Source organism: Homo sapiens, chromosome 21, assembly GCF_000001405.40.
Source record: "Homo sapiens chromosome 21, GRCh38.p14 Primary Assembly".
Taxonomy (NCBI): Eukaryota; Metazoa; Chordata; class Mammalia; order Primates; family Hominidae; genus Homo; species Homo sapiens.
The window spans coordinates 17,838,656-17,863,349 of record NC_000021.9 but is presented as its reverse complement, the minus strand read 5'-3'; the positions used below and the strand labels follow the sequence as shown (position 1 = coordinate 17,863,349).

At 38.6% G+C, this 24,694-nt stretch overlaps 2 long non-coding RNA genes across 2 annotated transcripts in view; one reads left to right on the top strand and one right to left on the bottom strand.

The window, feature by feature from the left end:
- LOC124900465 (uncharacterized) overlaps nt 1-24,694 on the bottom strand; it is a 145,830-nt gene that overhangs the window by 27,775 nt on the left and 93,361 nt on the right. The gene's annotated exons all lie outside the window — the stretch shown is intronic.
- Nucleotides 1-24,694, top strand: part of LINC03147 (long intergenic non-protein coding RNA 3147) — a 49,937-nt gene that overhangs the window by 22,259 nt on the left and 2,984 nt on the right. Inside the window, exon 2 of the long non-coding RNA NR_024354.1 lies at nt 22,697-22,855. This is a non-coding gene — a long non-coding RNA (long intergenic non-protein coding RNA 3147). The remainder of the gene's footprint in view (nt 1-22,696; nt 22,856-24,694) is intronic.

The following is a 24,694-nucleotide window of genomic DNA, read 5'->3' as shown; positions in this document are numbered from 1 at the left end:
AAGGTGGGAGGATCCCTTGAGCCCAGGAGCTGGAGACCAGACTAGACCATATGGCAAAACCTAGTCTCTATTAAAAAAAGAAAACAAGAATTAGCCAGGCATGTTGGCAAGTGCCTGTAGTCCCAGGAACTCAGGAGGCTGAGGTGGAGGATCGCTTGAGCCTAGGAGGTGGAGGATGCAGTGACCCACGATCTCTAAAAACAATAAATTAATAAATAAAAAATAAAAAAATTTAAAACACACACACACACACACACACACACACACACACACACACAAAGAAAGGGAGGCTTGGATGCTTTGATAAACTCCAAAGCTTTCAGTTGATAAAATAAGGTACTTATGACTGCCCTTCTCCATTACTTATTCCATGTGCCTTTGTCTTTAACCAGCACTCCAGATAGTCGTGGCCCTTCAACCAATAGGTGACTCAGAATCTTAGTCCTAAAGTATAATACCTGAGCCATAGATTATTCTGCTTATAAAGTGATGTTTTAGCTTTTGTTAAATTTTACTATTGGGCATGGCTGTACTAGGAGGAAATTCAGATTATTATTTTAGCACTATCATGCCTCTCTCTGTGCCCACTGTGTAGTAAAACCCTTGACAGGATTAATTAGTTAACAACATAACTTCCTTTTGCTCATTTACTCAGTGGCATGAAGAACTCTGAATGGGTAAGCTATAGTCTAAGCTTCAAATTTAAAGGAATCATTTGCCAAATATCCCAGAAGGAAACATTCTTCTCTTCAATACTAAAATCTTCAAAGTCTGAAAGAGTGAGGATGGGAGGTAAAACATTTGTAAATAGATTATTAAATGATTTCACTTTCTCCTATTTAGGGAGAAACTCTACTCTCACTTCCAGCCTATTGTCTCCAAATGCATGTATTCAGTTTGTGGGAGATATAATACTGTATACTGATCCTTGGCTAAAAGGATATTACGAGACAGTCCTCTAGTCACAAGGTGTTGTGTCTAAGCTCTCCTATATGTGAGACTCCGATCGGCCATAGCTGTTTCTGAGCCTTGGGTATCTTAGACTTGTCAATCACCCTTTGCCTCACTTTTTTTTTCACTGTAAAATAGACTTCCTTGATCAGAGAAAGGCTGGGTGGAATATCATAACTGTGTATAAAATAGTCATTCCATGTATAGTGGTACTGAAGCAAAATTAGGAAGAAAGGCAAATTAAAATCTAAAGTGTCATAGCCTCCTCCTTGATAGAAGTCTCGCTGCCCTCCCTAGGGCATGGTATTGTATTACAAGCTCAGGGTTAATTGCTGTTTCTGGAAAGTACACAAGGTCAGATTTTTTAGAAAAAGTCCATGTGTTAATGTCTGTCACCATATCCACTTTAATCAAGTACTAAGGAAATCAGAAAAAAGCCGACTGACATAAATAGTGAGTCATCTTGTCCACCTGATAATTAAAACCCTCATTCACTGTAGCCTTTTGTTGGTCAGTTGCATAGGCTATATTTAGTCACACTTAGAAACCCCATTCAGAGGGGTCCATACGTAAGTGTCTTCCCCAAACACTTTGTGATCAATCTTACAATTCTGCTTCTTTTAGTTCCCTGACAATCTGATTATACCATTAACCACTGCCCATCAATCAGTACAGATACCTACCTGGGGCTTTCTACTAACTGACAAAGTGGACAATAAGATAAATTGTTTACATTTCTTTTCACTGGGAGAATTTCCATTTTGACTGTCCTTCAGGACCACTCCTGAGGGTGAAAGTAATGCCTCAGCAATCTATTTCTGGTTGGTACACAAATATGCAGAGCCATCCTTTTAAAAGAATCAAATGTTTTCCTCTTCAGTCAACTGATATGAAGAAATTCCCCCACAAGAGCACAGTGGCAGCAGGAGGAGGCAAGGTGGGTGTTCATAAAGTTATTTATGCAACTTATTTCTGCCTTCACAATTGACGTGGACCTAATCCTGGATATTAGTGGAATCCACTTCCACTTGCTGATGAAGGACTTCTGACCGTGTCTAACTTCAATGTTGGTTTCTAATTTTCCACTGCTTATAATTCTCTATCTTTCATCTTTGTGGGAAATAATCCAATCAGGCTCCACTCTATACCTCTGACTTCATCTCCTACTAGTATCACCCTGGTTCACTCCACTCCATGGGGCCAGTTAAGGTCCCAATCTTTCCCCTGGTCCTTTCTGCCTAGAATAGTCTTCCCTTGGAGATGCACAAGGCTACTTTAATGCCTCCTTTCAGGCTATTACTCAAATGTGACATTCTCATTGACATCATCCCTGACAACCATTTTTTAAATTGTACTCTTCTACACCCTGGCAATCCTGATTTAAGCAGATTTATTTTCTTCTTACTGTAAACAAAAATAAAATTCTAAGACCCACCCCCAACTATTTGAATAGACCTCTCCTCTTGGCCAAGGGCATTCCAAAATTAACCTGAAAAACTAGTTCAGGCCATGACGGGAAGCAGGGTTCGAACATGCCTCATTAGTTCTTCCTCCCTTTTGGAATTCAGGAAGAGCCAACCAGAATTAACATCCACACAGATCTTAAGTCTGGTAAGAAATATATACAATTGATTCTCTCTCTGAAGCCTGCTACCTGGAGATGTCATGCTGCATGATAAAACCTTGGTCTCCACAATCCCTTATCATAAACCAGACATTCCTTTTTATTGATAATAACTCTTTCAACCAATTGCCAATCAGAAAATTTTTAAATCTACCTATGACCTGGAAGCCATGGCTCCGAGTTTTCCCACCTTTCCAGGTCGAACCAATGTAAATCATACATGTATTGATTGATGTACTATTTCTCCCTAAAATGTATAAAAGCAAGCTGTACCCCCAATAACCTTGAGTACATGTCATCAGGATCTCCTGAGGCTGTATCACAAGTGCATGCCTAACTTTGGCTAAATCGAGACCTGTCTCAGATACTTTGGGGTTCATATTACATAGATAACCTTCTAAAATACTGTATATTTTAATGCATTTGTTCATTCTCTTTCTCCACTAGAATATAAGTTACATGAGAAAATTTTAATTTCCCTAGTTTATTGCTATATCTCCAGTACCTAAAATACTGTGTGTGAACATATTAGACATTTAATGAACATTTGAATGAATGAATGAATGAACGAATGAAATTTTCTCTTCAACATCCTACCAGATTTTAAATTTGATTTAAGAGTATTCCATTGCGTGAAAAACCAACAATATTGCTTCATGAATTATATGCCTGATCTTATTCACTTACACTGTTGAACATTCCCAATTTATTTTCTTCTCCACTTTTCTATATCTTTCCAATCTATATCTACTACAAAAAACTTTTGAGTGAGGAGAAATTGGTTCAATTTGCTCTTCTTTTCCAACATCTGTTGTTTTTTAGAATAATAATGCCACTGGTTGTTTCTGATTCAAACACAAAGTAAGGCTTTGTTTCCAAGACAAGTCAACCAAACAAACAATTAGAATTACTCTCAGCTCGAAGAGGCACATTGAATCCAGAATCTCAGTGAGTTGTCCCCATGATGCTAAAATCAGCCTAATCTAAACTCATCAGTTCCCTCTTTGGCCTACTCATTCAAAATACACACACATACACACAAACCCACAAGTCTGATATAAATTAACAAAGTTTTGCCATTTTTTGTGGCTATTCTGTCATCTTGCAAATTTGCCTTTAAATTGGCTCCCAGAACATGTTGGGATCTGACAACATTTAAGGCCTTAGAGACAAAGAAGAGGGTATGGATGGAACAAAAGACAAATTAGGGTCTCTGGTCAGGTAAATCTCTTAGATGAGCCTGTTTGAGGGCTTGTTAAGAGTCTTCAAGCAAAGGGGAAAGAGCATCATCAGAAAGAGAAAGGTGGCTTCAGTTGCCAATAAAACTCATGGAGGAGTTGAAGTTCCTCCCATATAAGACTTTCATTCTCGGCATTCTATTTCTTCTGGATCAATGCCCAAACTTTATTTTTTTTTTTTTGAGAGGTGATAAAAATATTCTATATCTTGATCATGGTAGTAGTGATCATTACATAACCACGAGTGCTTGTCAAAACTCATAGGACTACACATTCAAAAGGGCATATTTTATTGTATGTAACTTGTAACTCATTTTTTTAAACAAGACAAAGTAATAGATTTTTTTTAATTTAATTTGATTTTGAGTTCCAGGATACATGTGCAGGACGTGCAGGTTTGTTACATAGGTTAACGTGTGCCATGGTGATTTGCTGCACCCACATGCATTAGCTATTAAGCCCCACAAGCATTAGCTATTTATCCTGATGCTCTCCCTGTCCCCGTTGTTCCTCTGACCCACAGGCCCCAGTGTTCATTGTTCCCCTCCCTCTGTCCATGTGTTCTCATTGTTCAGCTCCCACTTACAAGGCAGAACATGAGGCATTTGGTTTTCTGTTCCTGTGTTAGTTGGCTGAGGATAACATCAATGCCCAAACTTTGTATCAGACACATGGCAAGGCTGTAAATTCAACTGACATTGAATTTTGGCAAACCAAAGACTCAGTTTTTCTGTGTGTATATTTTGGCTCTCTCAACCCAGTGACTGAAAGAAATGTGATGTTTCTTTAGCCAAAAAAAAAAAAAAGTCACTGATTTTCAATCAATGCCTTAAGCAGGAAACAGTACAACTGCAAATTGTACAACTATAAATCTATTTCTTTAAAGTATTTGGAAATTTTAACAATAAATACTATTTACTACAAGTCTTATATAAGTCATTTTACTATACTCTAACAAGCTAATTCCTTCCTCAAAACTTTGCTTCGTTAGCACTACATTCCAGGGTGAATAAATTAATATACTGTGTCTCCTCTGCATACCGTATGTTAGAGACTCATTGTTTACTAGCTGTAACTTTTGCTACCTTTAGTTCTGTTTCAGTCATTCCAACAATAATGCTACATAACATAACTAGATGGCTTAATATAATCACTTATGCTTTTTCTTTTAACTTCAGATTGACAGAAGTTGGCTAACCTAGCTTGAGTTTAACTAGGTCTTCAAATTATTTCACATACCTTTCATTTTCCTTTACCCACCAGCTAACAGGGGCATATTTTCCTCATGGTGACAGCAGAAGTACAAGAGGCCAGGAAACCATTGCACAAACACATCTCAGCACTTTGCCCACATTATATCCACTGACATCTTACTAGCCAAAGCAAGTCACATGGTCAACTCCAACATCATGAGGCAGGGTAATATATTCTACCCACAGGAGGAGGAAAAAGAAAATGAATATTTGCTGAACAGTAATCTAAACTATCATAATTTCTAACAAGGCCAGATACACAATCCCAGATCTCCTCATTTCTTTGAATGTCTGTGCCTACAAAGCTTCTCATTGAAATTTCTATAACAATACGGTTCTTAGTTGCAAACAACAGAAACTTAACTAAGGCTGATTTAGGTAGAAATGAAAATATGTTAAATTGCTAACAAATGCAACCAGGGAATTGAAACACTAGGCTTAGAGACTCAAAAAGTAACAGTGCATAAATCACAGCACAGTACAGATCTAGTCTTGTGTGAAGACATGGCTGCCCACTGCCTCTCAGCTCTAGGCCTACACTGCCCGATATGGGAGTCCCCAGCCACAACCAGCTACTGAGCATTTGAAATATGGCTAATCCAAATTCAGATGTACTCTAAGTGCAAAATACACACCAGATTACTAAAGTGCAAAAGAAATAATTATAAAATAGCTCAATAATTTATTAAATGGATTACAGGCTAAACTGATAGCATTTGGGATATTTGGGTTAAGAAAAATACATTCTTAAAATTAATTCTACTTGTTTCTTTTTTTACTTTTTTTTTTTAAAAATTATACTACTAGAAAGTTTTCAATGGCATGTGTGGCTTATATTACATTTCTTTTTTTTTATTTATTTATTTTTTTAATTGAGACAGAGTTTCACTCTTGTCACCCAGGCTGGAGTGCAGTGGTGCGATCCTGGCTCACCACAACCTCTGCTTCCCGACTTCAAGTGATTCTCCTGCCTCAGCCTCCCCAGTAGCTGGGATTACAGGGATAAGCCACCACGCCTGGCTAATTTTTGTATTTTTAGTACAGATGGGGTTTCACCACATTGGCCAGGCTGCTCTTGAACTCCTAACCTCACATGATCCACCCGCCTCGGCCTCCCAAAGTGCTGGGATTACAGGCTTGAGCCACCACTCCTGGCCTTATATTACATTTCTATTGGGCAGCGCTGCCCTTCACGCCGCAGCTTGTGTTGCTCACCCCGTGGGCACTGGATTCTAGTAATTGCCATGGTCACCACCACCAATGTGGTCTCCAAAAACTGGAAGTTGTTAAAACAACTAACCCCAACAGGGAAGAGTCTTCCCTATCTTGTCTTCTTTGCATTTCTACCTCCCAAGCATAATCTAGGAAAGATCCATCTGCTTAGCCAAACCTGAGTCATATGTTAATAATATAGTTTCGAGACGCTAACAGAGTGAATATATGGTGTTTCTATCTTCTAAGAAAGAGACAAACTCTTCCCTCCCACCAAGACTTATAAAGTGGAATTCCCCAAATACAGATGGTGGTTTTGACACAGAGAACTCAAATCTCAGTTTTTTAAAAAAATCACTTTTTGAACTAGTATTTCCTTTTTCACGACTCTAAGAAACAGAAATATAGGCAAGATTTCTTTATAAAGATTTTTATCTTAGCTGGATTCCTCCAAAAGTAGACACAGAAATAGGTAGTTTATTTGTGAGATTATCCCAGAAGCATCAGTAGGGAGTTGTGGAAAGCAAAACAGGAAAGAAAATCCATTCAAAGATGCATTAATGAAGAGAGCAACTGGGGTTTGGTCCCTCTGGGACCTTTGGGACACTGTTTACAAGACACTTCAGTGTTGTGCTACCCTGAGGATGAAGATAATAGAGGGAAGGTTAATCCTGGGAATGTTAACTTCCTGGCACTTTCAACCTGCGTGCGCATGTCAGAGCCAATAATAATCCCGAAAGACACGATCCCCAATGCCATAGTCTCAAATGGAAAGCAATTAGAGTTATTTAAAGTTCATCCAGAATACTCTGTTGAGAATAGACTGAAGGGTAATCAAGCTGGAGCTGGAAGGCAAGTTAGGAGGCTGTTGCAACAATGTGATAAAGAAGTGAGAGTGATTTGGATGAGGGTGGTAGCAGAGGAGCTACTGCAGACAGGGAGTGGGGACAGTATTTTGAAAGTAGAGCAAACAGGATTTGCTGACAGATTAGATATGGGATGGGATAGAATGAGAGGAGTCAAGAGCAACTCTGAGGTTTTTGTCCTGAGCAACTGGAAGAAGGGAATCCATTAATTGAGAAGAAGATAAGAGGAGAAGCAGGCTTGAGGTCAGGGGTGTGAGGTGAAGGGGAAAGTCAGGAGTTAGGTGATGGATATGTGGGTGGGCAATGAATGGGTCATGTGGATCTCGAGTTCAGAGGCAAGTTTGTGAGACTTCAGTATAGAGATGATATTTAAAACCATGGCCTAGATGCCATGCACCAATGCAGTGAGCACCAATAGAAGAATTCCAAGCCACTTTGGAAAATAGTCTGGCAATTCCTCTATACACAGAGTTACCATATGATTTGGCAATTCCCCTCCTAGGTATATATCCAGGACAAGTGAAAACATGTGTCCACACAAAATCTTGTGCATGAATGTTTACAGAAGAAGAATTCACAGTAGCTAAAAGATGGAAACAATCCAAATTATCATCAACTGGTGAATGGATAAAGTATGGTATAGCTGTTCAATAGAATATTATTTGGTAATTAAAAGGAATGAAGTACTTGTACATACTACAATGTGGATGAACCTTGAAAACACGTTAAACAAAAGAAGCCAGTCACAAAAACTAGAGTTGGGCCATAATACCAAAAGACATAATTCTAAACACCATAATATCAGAAATCACAATCTTAAAAATTGAAAATTCTAAAAATATAATTCTGGAAAAAAATTTAATTTTCTTTAAAAGAAAATTATTTATGCTTGTAAAAAAGATTTATTTGAGCAACATATAAAAACATGACAGAATACTTCATAGTATACAATAAAATACATGATAAAGTTGTATAAAGTTGCCACTTTATACAATAAAATAGGCAACAATAACATTTTTATAAGCATAAGAACTCAGATATACTAACAACAGAAACATGGGTATAACAGTTATAAGCAGATGAACCATATTCATAAATAGGTCCAAAAGAAAATGTATAAACGCATATCACTATGGTTGGTAATTGTGTGCATCCAGTTTTATAACTGTGGTCATCTGAAATACCATGACAGATGACCTATGTCTTTTGATGAGATCGATAAGAAACCACAATGTGTCACCACTACATATGTAATCGCCTAGAGAGTTGAGATCTCAAGAAGTTTTATCTTTCACAAATGCAGATGTACAAAAAGGACATCCCTTCATTTATTGAGGAAGTTTCAATGTTTTTATGTACATGTGCAATGTCTCACACACAAGGTCAACATTGTGATAATGCACTTTCATGCAGTCAAATTTGCAAAAAAAAAAAATTGCATAAAACAAATTAGAACACTCTAAAGTCTTTACACAAAAGACCACATATTATATGATTACATATATATGAAATGTCCAAGATGGGTTTAAGGGGGATAATGAGAATGTTCTAAAATTGATTATGGTAATGGTTGAATAACTCTGAAATGCACTAAAAGCCCTTGAATTGTACAATTCAAATGGTTGATTTGTATGCCATGTGAATTACATCTCAATAATATCATTTTAAAGAGGAAAGTTCTAAGATTTGAGTCCTAGGGCCATTGACTATTTAGAGATTTGTGATACTTATTAAACATCCAAGATGAAATTCTGAATAGGAGTTTGAGTATGTAAATTTGAAGTTCAGGAGAGAGGTCTGGGCATAAGAAATCAATTTGAGAGTCCTTAATATATGGATAGTATTTAAAACCATTGTACTAGCTGACATCACCTAGAAAGTGAGTGTAGAAAATAAATAGAAGAGACCTGAGACATTGTTCAGGGCACACCAATGGTTAGAGGTTAGAAATAGATAAAAGGACAAGCAAATAAGCCTTAAAAGGAGGGGGCCAGTAAAGCAAGACCTTGACAGAGATCACCTCTGTCAAATGCTGCCAACAGTTCAAGTAAGATGAAAACTAACAACCATCGCTGGTTTTAGCTATGTGAAAGTCAATAGCAATTTGACAAGAGCTGTTTTGTAAGAGGCACGAGAATGAATGCCTGATTAGAAAATGAGAGACAAGCAAATTGCAGATATCAAGTAGATATAACTATTGAGAAGAGTTGCCTTTTACAGGAGCAGAGAAGTGATCCAGTAACTGCAGGGGAATAAAGAGTCTGGAAAATTGTCTTCTCTCTTAAGATAGGAAAAATAATAGCATTTATAAGCTCATGGAAATGATGAAGCAATAGAGAAAACATGATGTTACAAGAAGAGAGATGCCTGCTGCTGATGTGATGTCCTCGAATACATGAGAGAGAATAGAAACTGGTGAAGGAGTGGAGAGGGCTGGAGTGTAGAGAGCTTGCTGCTAGTGAAAAGCAGAGTATGTGGGCACAGAGCAAGCGGGTGGGTAGCAATGCTGGCAGCAAAATGCAGGACATGTTTTCTAGTGGCTTTTATTATCCCAGTAAAACGGGAAACAAGGTCACAGCAAAGAATAAGGAACAGGGAGGAGGTACTGAGGAAAGAGGAACAAGAAGAAAATAGCCTCCAGCCGGGCGCAATGGCTCACGCTTGCAATCCCAGCACTTTGGAAGGTCAAGGTGGGCAGATCACTTGAGACCAAGAGATCGAGGCCAGCTTGGCCAACATGGTGAGACCCTGTCTCTACTAAAAATACAAAAATTAGCCAGGCATGATGGCACTTGCCTGTAGTCACACTATTGGGGAGGCTGAGGCCCAGAATCGCTTGACCTGGGAGGGAAAGTTGCAGTGAGCTGAGATCGCACCACTGCATGCCAGCCTGGGTGACAGAGTGTGACTCTGTCTCAAAAAAAATAAGAAGAAAAGAAAAGAAAATAGTCTCTGGGCGATGGGCAAGTGGAGGACTAGGAAATTGCAGTATGGTGCCAGGCATCCACTTGTGATTAATAACAATGAATTCAAAATTCAACCAGTCAGCAAGGTAATATTTTTTCCCAGGCACATTTAGCCACACAGAGACAGACCTTAATAAACTAAGAGCGAGATTTACCAAGATTGGAATTAACAAAATATGAACATGTTCATAATTTTATTTTAAAAAGATAGGAAATTTTACATAGAAGCATATTATAGCATTCCTATAGAATAAAAACACACTAAAGACATGTATGGGTGGCTATGTTTTTATGGGCAGTTTTTATTTTCTTCCATATCCATATTCTCTAAATTTTTTTGCAAAACTCAAAATTAACCTATCTTAAGTCAATTAGTATTCAGGACCATCCCATATAACTAAAGAGAAAGTAGTAGAGCCAGGTCCCACAAGAAATTTAAATCTGAAAGCAATAAAACATGGCAATTCTCTTCATCTTTTCTCTCACTGAGTGTGTTGTCTCCTGTGTATGTTTCCTTCTGGGCATCTGCATTCCCTTGAGTCCTTGTGCTTGACAAACAACGCATGGCCCCCAATATGGCTGCTCTTATCTTAGCCCATATTCCCAGAAACCACCATCGCCTGACTGAATCTTTATTCTTCTTAGATAGAATCCACAAGAGACAAGCTAGTTGGCTCAGCTTGGATCAAGATTCCCTGTTTTGTTCAATTAGCTGGAAACAGGAGTAGGAAGTCAACTAATCAAAATATGGCAGCCACTGGCCACCCAACCCCATTACTTCAGCCAAATATTGGGGAGAGAGAGGCAATTCCAATAAAACAGGCCAAGCAAGACCCCCAAAAAAGTCTTATTATGACTTTCATAATAAGAACAAGTATTTTTAAATACATGAATAGATCAGGGGAGATAACAAAATATTAAAAACTTAGTTTCCTCTGGTCAAATATTTATTCTCTGTTTCAGGTAGCTTTTCATAATTGTGATTTCTAGAAAGCTTCTGATAAGGGACTGTTAGTACAAGGCACCGTATCTTTCATTGCATAGAAGGAGTCTGGCAGGCATAAAATCATATTTAACAGTAAAATTTACATTTTTAGAAAACACTGAGAAGCTGAAATATATCCCTGACTGCAAAATGAAACTGTTGATGACATCAAAAATTCTGAGGATTCCCTCTTCAGTGAATGTCTAGTGAATACTTACTATGTGTTATTAGACTTGTAAGTTAGATTGGAGGCAAAATAACATGATAAAACTGAAAACTCAGTCTATTAATGGCTCTTTCTTTATATTTATTTTTTTATTTTCTTATTTTTTTATTAAGACAGAGTGTCACTTTGTCACCCAGGCTGGAGTGCAGTGGCATGATCTTGACTCACTGCAACATCTGCCTCCCAGGCTCAAGCAATCCTCCTACCTCGGCCTCCCAAGTAGCTGGGACTACAGGTGTGTACCACCATGCCTGGCTAATTTTTGTATTTTTTGTAGAGACAGGGTTTCACCATGTTGCCCCAGGCTGGTCTTGAACTCCTGAGCTCAAGTGATCTGCCCACCTTGGCCTCCCAAAATGCTGAGATTACAGGCATGAGCCACACACCTGGCTGGCATCTTCTTTTAAGATTATTTTTAATTGCACAAATTGTACACGATACATGTTTGTGTATTGAAAAATTCAAGTAAATACAGAAGCAAACACCCATGACTATCCCCAATTCTAAAGACTTTGCAGAGGAAAATATGGTTAACAGTTTGGGCTGAACTTTTCCAACTGTTTTTCTAGCTTAGGTTTATATTCTAAGTTCATTCTTAAGGCTTTTCTTTTTCATCTTTAAATTTGCTTTTCTTTCTTTATGCTGATGACTTCCTGTCAGCATTCTTGGTAAGTTATATACTCCGGTGGCGTTGCATCCAGACCCTATAAAGACATTTTTAATAATATCCCAAAGATCCAATCTCTTAAGGCTCTCAGATTTCACCTGTTTTTTAAAAGCAGACATTTTATGGACTGGCGAAGCAATCATTTAGAAACATACATCTCTGAAGCCATAATCATTTTATAATTTGTTCTGCCTCACAAACAACTGCAGCCAGTCTTCCAGGAGGACAATCCTTTAAACTAAATCTCCAGCATTAAAGCCGCTTATGGCTATTTCAGATAATGGGAGCTGTCCAGTCTGTGGTGTGTTCAGTCCCTTTCATTTAGGGAGAATCTGCTGTACGTAATATCGACTTGAAAATGAGCTCCGCACTAGAAATTCAGCAGTGAATGACGGAAATAAGTGAGCTTACAAAATTTATTGGAAATTTCTTTTTGAAGGTCAGAAAATATAACAAGCACAATAGCAAATGTGTATTTTTTTAAATATATATACCACATTCTTATGAGACCCTGTTTTATGGCAGTACCCTTTCAAAAAAAAACTGATTAAAGATAACTCAAACAAAGCCTACTTTGTAGATTTGTCTAAATTTCTGAAATAATAAATAAATACACAAGCCAAAAAAAATCTCTGGACATTTCCCCCAAAAGGAAAAAAAAATCCCAAAAAATATGTTCTTTGTGGACCTTGTAATAAGTCATATTTGTGAAGAAACACACTCTGTCACTTAAGAGTATATCATCTTGAATACTATTGGAATTTTTATTATACTCAGTTTCCTCTTTAAATTGGAAATTATAATGTCTGTTTTACAAGTATTGTTGAAAAATATGTTTGGGTTCCCCCCAAATTTATATGTTAAAAAGTAATTCCCAATGTGAAGGCATTAGGATGTGGGGCCTTTGGAAGGTGATTAGGTCATAAGGTTGGAGCCCTCATAGGGGGATTATGCCCTTTTAAGGGTCTGAAGAGACCAGAGTTCTTCCCTTCCACCATGTGAGAAAACAGCAAGAAGGTACCATTCTATGAACCAGGAAATGAACCTTCACCATATATCAAATATGCTGGTGCCTTGCTCTTGGACTTCCCAGCCTCTAGAACTGTAAAAAATGAATTCATGTTGTTTATAAACCACCCAATTTATGGGATTCTGTTATAGCAGCCTGAACAAAAGAAGACAATTGTACAATGTATGCATAGCAGAGGCTTTGCCATGTGCCTGCCCCATCACTGATTCCAGTTCCAACTGGTGGCAGACAATTCCCATACATACTGGAAAAACCTTATGCCAGATGTTTGCCTTATTGCTCAGCTTTTCTGCCTCAGGACTCGTTCTGAAGCTATAAGATTCCTCAGCCTTATATAGGACAGTCCAGAAACGTTGGGGCACTAACATCCATGGGCACAACCCTCAGCCAGTGAGAAATGGGGGTCAGTAAATAAATGCCTCAGTCTTCTGTTCTTCAGAGGAACAATTCTGAAATTCATTCTATATGGCTCCCTGAGGGGTCCATGGAATTGAGCCAGTTCTCCATAGCAATAACTGGCTCAATAATATATCTTTAATTGGCTTCCTGGAATCATTCCTCAAATAAATTATTTTCACCCAAATGCGTGTCTCAAGCTCTGCTAGGGGTAGAACCCAAACTAAGATATTAGTTAAAGTGCTTTTAATAGCGCCCTGTGGCCAGGTGTAGTGGCTCACGCCTGTAATCCCAGCACTTTGGGAGGCCAAGGCAGGTGGATCACGAGGTCAAGAGATCGAGACCATCTTGGCCAACGTGGTCAAACCCCATCTCTAAGAAAAATACAAAAATTAGCTGGGCGTGGTGGTGCACGCCTGTAGTCCCAGCTACTTGGGAGGCTGAGGCAGGAGAATCACTTGAACTCAGGAGGCAGAGGTTGCAGTGAGCTGAGGTCGCGCCACTGCACTCCAGCCTTCCAGCCTGGCGACAGAGCAAGACTCTGTCTCAAAAAAAAAAAAAGAGTCCAGTATAAAATTCATGGTTAGTATATGATGGTTTCGTTTCCTATGCCTCTTCAGTAGTGTCATTCTTTACTTGTGAATCAGATATCCAGATCTAAGCAATGACTCACTCTGGGGAAAAACAATGTCCTAAATATGGTAGCCTGTAGAGGCCACTGAGGACTTGAAATGCAGCCAATTCAAATTGAGAGGTGCTGACAGTGTAAGCTTTACAAGAGATTTCAAAAACTTAGAATAAAAAAAAGTAAAGTATCTCATGATATAATAATTTGTAGATTGATTAGTTGAAATAACACTGTGGATATATTGGGTGAAATAAAATATAGTATTAATATTAATTCCACTTGTTTCTTCTCATGTTTTCAAATATGGCTACCCAAATTTTTTAAGTTATATTAAGGCTTGTATACATCTATTGGACAGCGCTGCTCTAAACATTATAGGAAAGAGTCATGGTGTGAAGAGAGAGAGAGAATGTATGTGCGACTCAGAATATTCAACAAGATGTTTAATTGTAAGCCACAGAAACAATTTAGGCGGATGTAAGAAAGACTTCATTAAAGATTAAAGGAGGCTCCAAAACCTGGCCCAAAGAATCAAGCTTGGAGGCTGCACAGCGGGTACAATTGTATAGAGATAGTCTGCAAAATACCTGCCATCATTTTTCTTCCTGTATCCACATCCCTTAACAATGTGACTTTGAAGTTCCTCCCATCAGGAGGTAGGGTGTTTCTTTACCCTTTGATTTGGTGCTGGCCTTGTGACTTGCTTTGGCCAAAAGAATGTGGCAGAAGTGATGGTTATATCAGTTCTGAATGTAGACTTCACAGGAGCTCTACTTCTTGGAACCCTGCTGACCTGTCATGTGAACAACCCTGGGCTGGACTGTTCGGTGATAGAGACATGCGGTCCAGTCATCCCCATAGCCTCAGCTGACAGTCAGCCAAACCACAGAAACAGAGCTGCCTCATCGACCAGCAGCCAACTCCAAACACATGAATGAGCCCAGAGCTGTTCAGTTAAACCCAATTCAAACTGCTGTTTTCACAAGATCATAAATAAGCTAAATATAAGTTACTAAGTTCTGAGATGACTTGTGTCAAAGATAAATCCAGACACTGGTTAGACACTGGTTAAAGCACTAAGAATAAACTTTATTCCGTAATTATCACTGCAAAGGGAAAGAGGTTCCAACATGAACTGAACTTTGATTTGTGCAGAGGTGACTGGGCATGTTAAAGGGACAATGAGGGACTAAGGAAGGGGGAATGAGCAGGGGCTTAAGCAGAAACTGATCTTGTTAATTGGTGCTTATCTAAAGGAGAAGCAAACTTCTTATATTTATATGGCAGAAGGCAGTGGTGTAAATTAGAGGCAAGGTGCCACGGGGCTGGGCACCAGAGGGGGAATTATTTCCCTGAATGTTAATTTTGGGTGGTAGAAGATCTACATCGCAAAGGGGAAGAGAAAGGAATTACAACTGCAAGCTTCCTAAACTACAACTGCTCTAAGAGGGGAGGGTTCAGGGGCCTGTTTATTACTGGTTTGGACTGGATCAGTCTTGAGCTTTCCAAGGTGAGCAGTTTAAGGGGCTAGGGTCATTCTAGGAATGTAGCTTTGAGCTGCTAGAAACTATATTAATTTTTGCTCAAAAATTTTAGTGTGGGAGTGGAGTATGGAAAATAGACAAAAATCATTTATGCTGAGAGTCTGCAGTTTTTATAAGCCTACACTGGGGCATGGTCAAAAACAGAACTCAGAAGAGCTTATCTAAAGTTCAGTCAAGAAGAGAGTCTTTGCGACTTACCACTTAGTTATGGGATGATCAGTTATGCAGCAAAATCTAAATAATATCATTTTTCAAATCACACCACAGAACTGGTGCATTGGAAACCCCACCACCCCTCCTGCTAGACCCAGAAACTGCAGCTTGCGTGGCTGACCTACTGATACCAAACATGGCACCACTACTAGGGTCTCTGGAAAGGGCATGTACCTCCCACCACGGCTGCCAAGCTCACCAGAATGGATTGTGTTTTGTTTTGATTTTTTTGGTATCACTACCCTCAATTCAAAGTCTAGGGAGTCTCCATCTAATTCATGGAACCTAAGTCGTGTGCTCATGCCCTAGTTTCACATTGGTATCTTCGGTTTCTACAGTGGAAATCGTTTCCCTTTAATAAAATAGAGAATTATCCAATGCAGGAAGGATGTTCAGATGCTGGGTCATCAAACCAAAAAACAAATGCTATTATGTAAACTATAATATTTCATACCTTCATTGTTTACTGTTGCTGAGAACCATGCCTGAACACACTCCTTATCTTTCTCTATTTTAATAATTCCTCTTCATCTTCCCTGGGAAATTTTCTCTGACTTCTGCCTTCCCCAGCCCTGGTTATATTAGAAAAATGCACAGAGGCATGAAACCTAGCAAAGTAATTAGGATTCCCATTGTTTCCTCAGTTCCTCACTGGTTCTTATCATCAAGAATCTTTCGACCTGAGTGACTGAAATCTTTCATTCATTCCCCAGTGCCTGGCATGGTGTCTGAAACATATTAAGACCTCAGTGTTTATTTCTACATAAATAAACTAGAGATTCATGAAATGAGAGGTCACTCTTATAAAACAGGTTGGTGTCAGATTATGCAGGATATAAATGCAACCTAGCTCAGAGGCAACATAATGTCATTAAAGGTTTTTGTACTATTTATTAGAAAGATTCACCTATATTCAGTGTGTAGGATGCAAATAAGAGTGTGAGGCCAGAGCCTAGCCAGCAACCTACTGCAAAATGTAGTAGGTTGAGAGTGGAAGGGGCTAGCCACACTAATGCAAGAGAAGAGCCAGCTGCATGAAATAAAATTAAGAAGATGTTGGCATCTGACTGGTTCTGGGATGGAGGGAGAGGAAGGAGTATGTTCATATATCATGACAAAAAAATTGAAATGTGTTTTTTTTAATTATGATAATTTTCTTGTTTCCCAAAGACCTTTCCTTCATCCTGTTTATTCTAAGGTATTTTCAAACTCAGGAAAGGAAAAATTACTGCAGAACAGAATAAAAGGGATGTCATGTTTTTTGCTTTTAGCTTCAAACAGCAATGTTGTAGAACAGCAAAGACTTTGGAAGAGTACTTACAGAAAGAAGTTACACCCTTCATCTCCACGCAAGTTTAGGTGCCCAGTAGGTGAAAGCGTCCTGATAGGATGAAAATAATTCATGGAGGAGCAGCAAAAGGGTTAAATGCACATGAGGGAAGACTGAAACCTTACTCTTCCCTAGTGTATAGTTTGAGGAGAGAGAAGGTTGGAAAAAGTGTGTTCTAGATCTACCACATCAACTTAGTACCCCAGCATCAGAGCAAAAATGGTCAGTTACATTGGGCCAACAGTTAGATGTGGCTCGGTGTGACATCGAGGGGCAAAGAGACTCTGATGACGGCTCTGATCCTACCTTAAGGTCACCCGTGAGAAGTGGACAAATAAACCTCCCACTTCCCCAAGCAGGGCTCAGAAGGTACTTGAAAGAGACAGCTTAGGACCCAAGGGTCTAGAATTTTTAACCCAAATGCAAGTGGGCATTATGCAGCTGAGGCGCTCACAGTTGCAGAGATTTCAGGAGGTGGCCTTCTGGAAGACTGACAAATACCATGACCACGGAAGAACAGGTCCCTTTTCCCTGACTCCCTACCTCCATCCTGTCTAGAATAAACTAGGGAACAGGAATACCACCCTGAAGAGCAGGAGGCAAAGGCAAAGTCCAGAAATGACATGATTTTAAACTTGAAGTTACAAGACAAAGGATGACATGACAAAAGTATGACAAAGGCTAAATCCATCTAGAAATGACTAGATTTTGCATTACAATATCAGGGGAAATAGGGCATATAATAGAAACTAAGTTCAATTACCCAAAAATAAAATATTACCTAGTTTGTATGTATGACTTTAAGGCCTATGAAAATTACACTTACAATAGGTACAAAGGAGTTTACTCCATTTGTAAGAGGATTGAGAGTTCTTTTTGTGGAACTATAACAGGTTTCATTAAAAAAATAACAAATTATTGGCTGAAATGTTTCAACTCTAAGTTGAAATTAAAGTGAATTGCTACTTTCCCCATGCCTGGCCCTCCCTCTGAGGCATGTTCTGATTCTAATTGAATTCTAATTAAATTAGATTAAATTTAATTCTAATTGGTTTGGGTCACCAAGGTGATTCCAGTCAATATTCTTCAGTACAATCCAAAGATTTCTAGTCCACTCATGAGTCAATCAAAGTCTAGAGGACTCAGAACAGATTTATTAGCCATTGATGTGTGATATGGTTTGGCTCTGTGTTCCCCCTCAAATCTCATGTTGAATTGTAATTCCCAGTGTTGAAGGAGGGACCTGGTAGGAGGTAATTGGATCATGGGGGCAGATTTCCCCCTTGCTCTTCTTGTGATAGTGAGTTCTCACAAGTTCTAATGGTTTAAAATTGTAAGTTTCCTGAGGCCTCCCAGTCATGCTTCCTGTACAGCCTGCAGGGCAGTGAGTCAATAAAACCTCTTTTCTTTATGGATTATCCAGCCTCGGGTAGTTCTTTATAGCAGTGTGAGAATGGATTAATACAAAATGGACCTATAGTTAAGATAAACTCTAGAGTAGTTTTACTCAATGGGGTTTGGGTATAGGGGGTCTCCTCCCCATATGACAGTTAGCAAAGTCTGGAGATAGTTTTGGTTGTCACAAGTGAGGGTGTCACAACTAGCAACTAGTAGGTAGAAGCCAAAGATGCTGCTAAACATCACTCGATGCCAGACAACCCCCACAACAAGGAATTATGTGGGCCAAAATGTCATTAATACCAGGATTGAGAAACCTACTCTAGAGGTAAATTAGAAGCCTACCCATTTCCTGAATCCTGGCGGCCTCTTCAAGTTGACCAACCACTTTTATTTAATAGAAGACATTTAGTGTACACAGGCTCTTTTTTTTCTGGAGAAGCCTTAGACAAAACTTAGATTGTTTATTAGATTATTTTAAGAAATATTTAACACCTAAAAAAAAGCATTGGAATTCTTTAAATACTTTCTTCCTTTAAAATGTACAATTCAATTAATCAATCAATCAATACGTCATCTCTGTCTTAATTTCAGTAATCTGTTCTTGGTTAGTTCTATTGAAAAAATGCTAACTGGGAGCCTAATTATCATGATTTTACATGGGAAAAATTATAATGCAGAATATGTCAACCATAACCGACAGCCAATTTCCTCAAACATAACTAAAACTCAATAAAACATCTTGTTAGGGGGTAAAATGCTCAAGAGGAACATACTTCTTAATAACCAATAAATTAATATACCTCATAATCGCTTATGTGGTATATAACAAAATACTAAACATCTTCTTTTTGAAGCCTCAAGAATTTTTCAAAATATCAACATGTGACTTGGATGCTGTGGCTGAAATTACTTAAAAACTCCCATTGTTTCACTGAAATTATTTTATTATTAATTGTTAACTTCACTGATAATAATGTCACACATCTTTTTATGTGCCTGTCATGTATTTGTATATCCTCTTTTGTTAAATGTCTATTCAAGTAATTTGAACTTTTTTTAAATTCAATTGCATGGTTTTTTTTGTTTGTTTGTTTCTGAGACGGAGTCTCCCTCTGTCACCCAGGCTGGAGTGCAGTGACTCGATCTCGGCTCACTGCAAGCTCCACCTCCTGGGTTCATGCCATTGTCCTGCCTCAGCCTCCAGAGCAGCTGGGACTACAGGCGCCCGCCACCACGCCCAGCTAATTTTTTGTATTTTTAGTAGAGACAGGGTTTCACTATGTTAGCCAGGATGGTCTCGATCTCCTGACCTTGTGATTCACCTGCCTCGGCCTCCCACAGTGCTGGGATTACAGGCGTGAGCCACTGTGCCCAGCCCAATTGCAAGTATTTTTATTACTGAGAGATGAGTTCTTTCTAGACACTGGATACAAGTCCTTTGTCAAGCATATGTATTGTGAACATTTTTCTTCAGTTTGTGATTTGCTTTTCATTATTTTAACCATGTGTTTCAAGGAATAGAAGTTTTGAATTTTATAATCCAATAATTCAATTGTTTCTTTCATGGTTAGTGATTTCTATGTCCTGTTTAAGAAATATTTTCCTACCTCAAGGTCACAAAGTTATCGCCGTGTTTCTTTCTTCTGAAGCTTTACATACTAGAATGGCTAAAAATAAAGTTTGACAACACCTAATGCAAGCAAAGATGTGTGTATTAGTGCACAAAATGATATAGGTAAATGGAAATTACTTCAGAAAATTGTTTGGAAGGTTCTTACAATGTTAATCATGTACCTACTCTATGACCCAGAAATTTCACTCTAGGTATTTACTCAAGAGAAGTGAAAACATGTCCACAAAAAGCTCATACAAAAATATTTATCACAGCCATATTCATAATAGCTTAAAACTGGAAATAGCACAATGGTCCAACAATAGGTAGGAGATTAACAAATTGTGGTATATTCATACATTGATGAATGAACTACTGATGTATACAATAGATCAATCACAAAAACATGTTGAGCAAAAGAAGACAGACACAGAAAAGACCATACACTTTGATTCCATTTACATGAAGCTCAGAATAGGTAAAACTAATTGATATTGATGGAAATTAAGAGTTGTTATCTCAGGATGAGGAGAAAAGAGCCCAGGAAGAGGCATAAGGGAATTTACTATAAAGTGTTGGAAATGTTTCATATCTCAACAATGATGTAGCTTACATTGTTATTGACAATGGTGTAGGGTTATGTTGCTATTATAATGTTATGGTATATTCATTTTGTTATTGAACAATATACTTAAAATCTACACATTTTATCACATGAAAATTATACATTAAAAAATACATACCATATCACATTTTATAGGCACAAATATAAATTTGTCCTAAACGTGCATCGGCTAAGAGATGCGTACGCTTTATGAAGTTCAGATATAAAAAGTCACAAGGCATTCTGATGGAAAAATGTTAAACTGAGAGAAATACTGTTGGGGTATGTCTGTATTTTCTGTATGCCTGGAAAGATCTGTCGTCATCTGCGCCTTTTTAGATGTAAATGGAGAGTCAAGATTATACATTGGAGGTTGTTTCACTCTGGATTACATTTTAACTCACTAGGAATTCCTAACAGTGGGGCTGCATTCTGCCCTGCATTTGATCTGTTCTATCAGACAAATGCCAAGAGCTAATTCTATCTCTTCCTATAGTCGTAAATACAAAATACAGTACAACAGGATTTTATTTATAAGACAAAAAGGTTGGAAAATATTTTTGTTAGCTAGTAAATTAAACGTAACTGACTTCATTTTATCAAGAACCAAAGAAAATGTGTCAATTGATCAGTAACTAATAAGATCTGCTAAACCTGTGACCTAGTCCTAATAGTATAAAAAAGACTGCATTATCTGTGGTTAAAGCATTAACAAAATCTTTTGTCCTATATGAACAAACTTGACCTTGGGTTAACTTTATAGCACTGTTTCCCTGGAGATCTGCAAAGGGTAGGATGAAAATATTGCTACTAGGCAATATTTCTTATGATTAAAAAAATGACAAATTGCATCTGACAGGAGAGAAACTATATATAAACTATAAATACTTAGTGGGAAACCATAGCTTTGGGATCCCTAAGTGTGATGACTCTCACAGCTGGGCAGGCTCACTGCAGGGACTCTGGAATTGATGCCTCAAACATTGTAAGAAATACAGGATCTTATTGGAGACACAAGGCTTCTAAGCCAAGATGGACCATATGTACATGTCTCATCTCCTTGCACCTTAACTGTCAACTTAAAAGCCAGAGATTTGCTTTTTGATTGGTGTGAGGACTTCTGCAAGAAGTCTTATTAAAAAGGGGTGCCTGATGCTGTCATTCTGGCATGCTGCATGGCTTGCCTTATGCTTTTCCAATTAAATCTGATGCCAAGTGTGCCCTATAGAGGTCCTGGGGGTCAGAATTTTCAGAGACTCCCTTGTGGGTACTGCAGTAACTCAGTACACAATAGGATCCCTAATACAGAATGGTGGTGAATAAATATGTCTTTCATGATTGATGGGAAAGTCATTGCTCTCAGAGTCATGTTCATCTCTGCCACCATGGAGATGAACCTTCAATGCCACAATATAAAGCAGATATACAATAGTAAGAATGTCATGAACATAAGGTAATACATGAAATACTTGTGATCTCCTTAGAAGAAAGTGAGAAAGAAAAGTAGCTCAGAGCGGTCTGTGCTATGTGAGGTATGTAAAATTAATCAGGCCCAGAGAGACATGAGTATGAAACTTCAGCACACTCCTGGTGCACCCATTCCCAGGGGCAATTATTTAAAGGCATTTTGTTCTTTCTTTGCTTCTCTGCAGTTTCCAGACTAGTTGATAAATTACCTAAAATGTTATCACAAGTTGCACAATGTGACCCTCACTCATTATCTTTATGGTTCTAGAATTTGTGATACAAAGAATAATATGTATAGCCAATCACTAGCTTATGTTATTTTAATGAACCAATGTAAAAACCACTCCTTTTTTCTTTTAAAATCCAGTTGTAACTGCTGCTAATGAAAGCATACCATCAGGGCAGCTTGAATCTGTGACTCCTGGGTTACAGTCCCCAAATTTGGCCCAAATAAATTCTCTACTTATATTAATTTTGCCCCAGTTTCTTTCTTTAGGTCAACATATCTGGTGTAGCTGTCAGGATTCAGAGCAACCTCCTCACACCCTGGACCACCTAGTGATCCCTCCTGGACTCAGCACTCAGCACCAGCACAAACCTACTGTGTTTCTCTGTCTCCACATCTTTCCCTGAGTACAAAAGGTGAGTCCTACTGAATCTGAACCTCTTTCTTCTCAGTTGAGGTCTAGGCTTTATTTGGGCTGGGGTTTTTTTGTTGTTTTTTTTTTTGTTTTTGTTTTTGTTTTTAAAGACTGAAGGCTTTGGTCTCCGTCTCTGAATGGGAGCTTCAGGTGAAAACCTCTGCAGAGAAATACCTTCCCTACCTCTGCCCCATGGTAGGAGGTTCAGGTCATGGTGCAGCACACCACTCTGCAGAAAATTTCTGCCTTCTCTGCCTCCGCTCATGGCAAGAGGTTCAGGTTATGGCATTGGCAGTCTAACACTGCCAGTTTCCCTTTTTTGGCCTGAAATTACATAAATTACATTCTTTTAAAATTGTAGCTGCTTCTTACTGCTTGTGATTCACAATTGTCATTTTATTTGTGACCAATTCCTGCTAGTTTTAAGCCAAAAGGTGCATGAGGTTGAGCTCTCTCACCCTGAAATTTGAGAGAAACTTGCTACCTCCAAACTCAATTGGGTGCTGTAGGTGACTAAAGACTTTATGAAGATACAGAACATCTGTTCAAGATGTATCATAGTATCATAGGTCCTGTCTGCAAGAATACCTGTGATGACTTTCAGCTCAGCCAGAAGGTACGTGCGAGGGCTGGTTGCCTGGCGTCTTGAACACTCTGCCACCATAAGGTGATCAGAGATTACAAGACACATGAAAAGCAAGTCATGACTCTCTGGTGACTCTTTGAGAAGTGACACTCACAAAACAGCACACTTCAACCTGATACACTGTCCTGGCCTTGGTCATATTTGAAAAGGAATTTCTAAAATTATGGGAAACTGCTCATCAAAACTGAGCTTTCCCTGAAGGGACAATCCCCCTTGGAAACACTAGCTGGGTTTTCATGTAATACCTATGAAGCTCCATCTGGCAAATACCTATGTAAATGGACCCACATGACTCAAGATGACCCCCAAATGGCCATCACAATGGCAAAAATGAGGGTGATTTAAAATTCCTAAATTAATATATTTGCACACACAATTGAAAAATAAATCACATTTTAGAACCAAACAAATTGAATGAGAGGCCTACTTTTTGTTTGTCCTGGCTGAAATCTGATTATAAGGGATTTGAAGGTTTTTGTTTGTTAAAACATCTATGGTTTAAAAGCAAGGCATTTCTGCTCCCTTTTAGATCCATTTCCAGGAATTTTTCCAGTCAACTAAAACTCCTAAAACTCCTTTTTAATTGGATGCTTGCTCCCTCTGTTTGCTTCCTTTCTTGCTGGCATGATTTTTGCTGAGAAAAATATAAAACTTCATTGGCCTTTTAGAAAGTTCTCCCCAAATTGGCTCCTCTAAGACTTGCTCTTCCATTTCCTTCTACTCTGCTCCTCCTTCCCTTTACCATCTTCAGTGCCACATGAAGAAGTCTAGAAGAGCCTTCTAACATCCCGATACCCCTTGAGAAACACAGAAAAAGGTGCCATGCACACCCCTCGCTTGGAGGTTTTCTGTCATCCTTGTGGAGTTCTGAGAGTCATACGAAGGCTCCTCTCAGGTCTAAAGCTTTGTTCTCTTCTGCATTGAGTTACCTGATTTTTTTTTGGCTTTTGGAGTAACAGGGATTACCTTGTACTATCAGCTGAAACTTGATCTTTCTGTGACCTCTTTGTAGCTGGCAAGTCACTGGCGAGAACTGAAGTTTTGGAAGGGGCTGACAGCAGTTACGATGAATGGTTATTACTGCAGAGGGCCACTCATTTCTTTGTGTCTTTAGATAAGAAAGGTGCAGTTTGAACATTTGGAGGATATAGCAACCCTCATCACCAAGGGATAAAACTCTCTTGGGAAATGGGC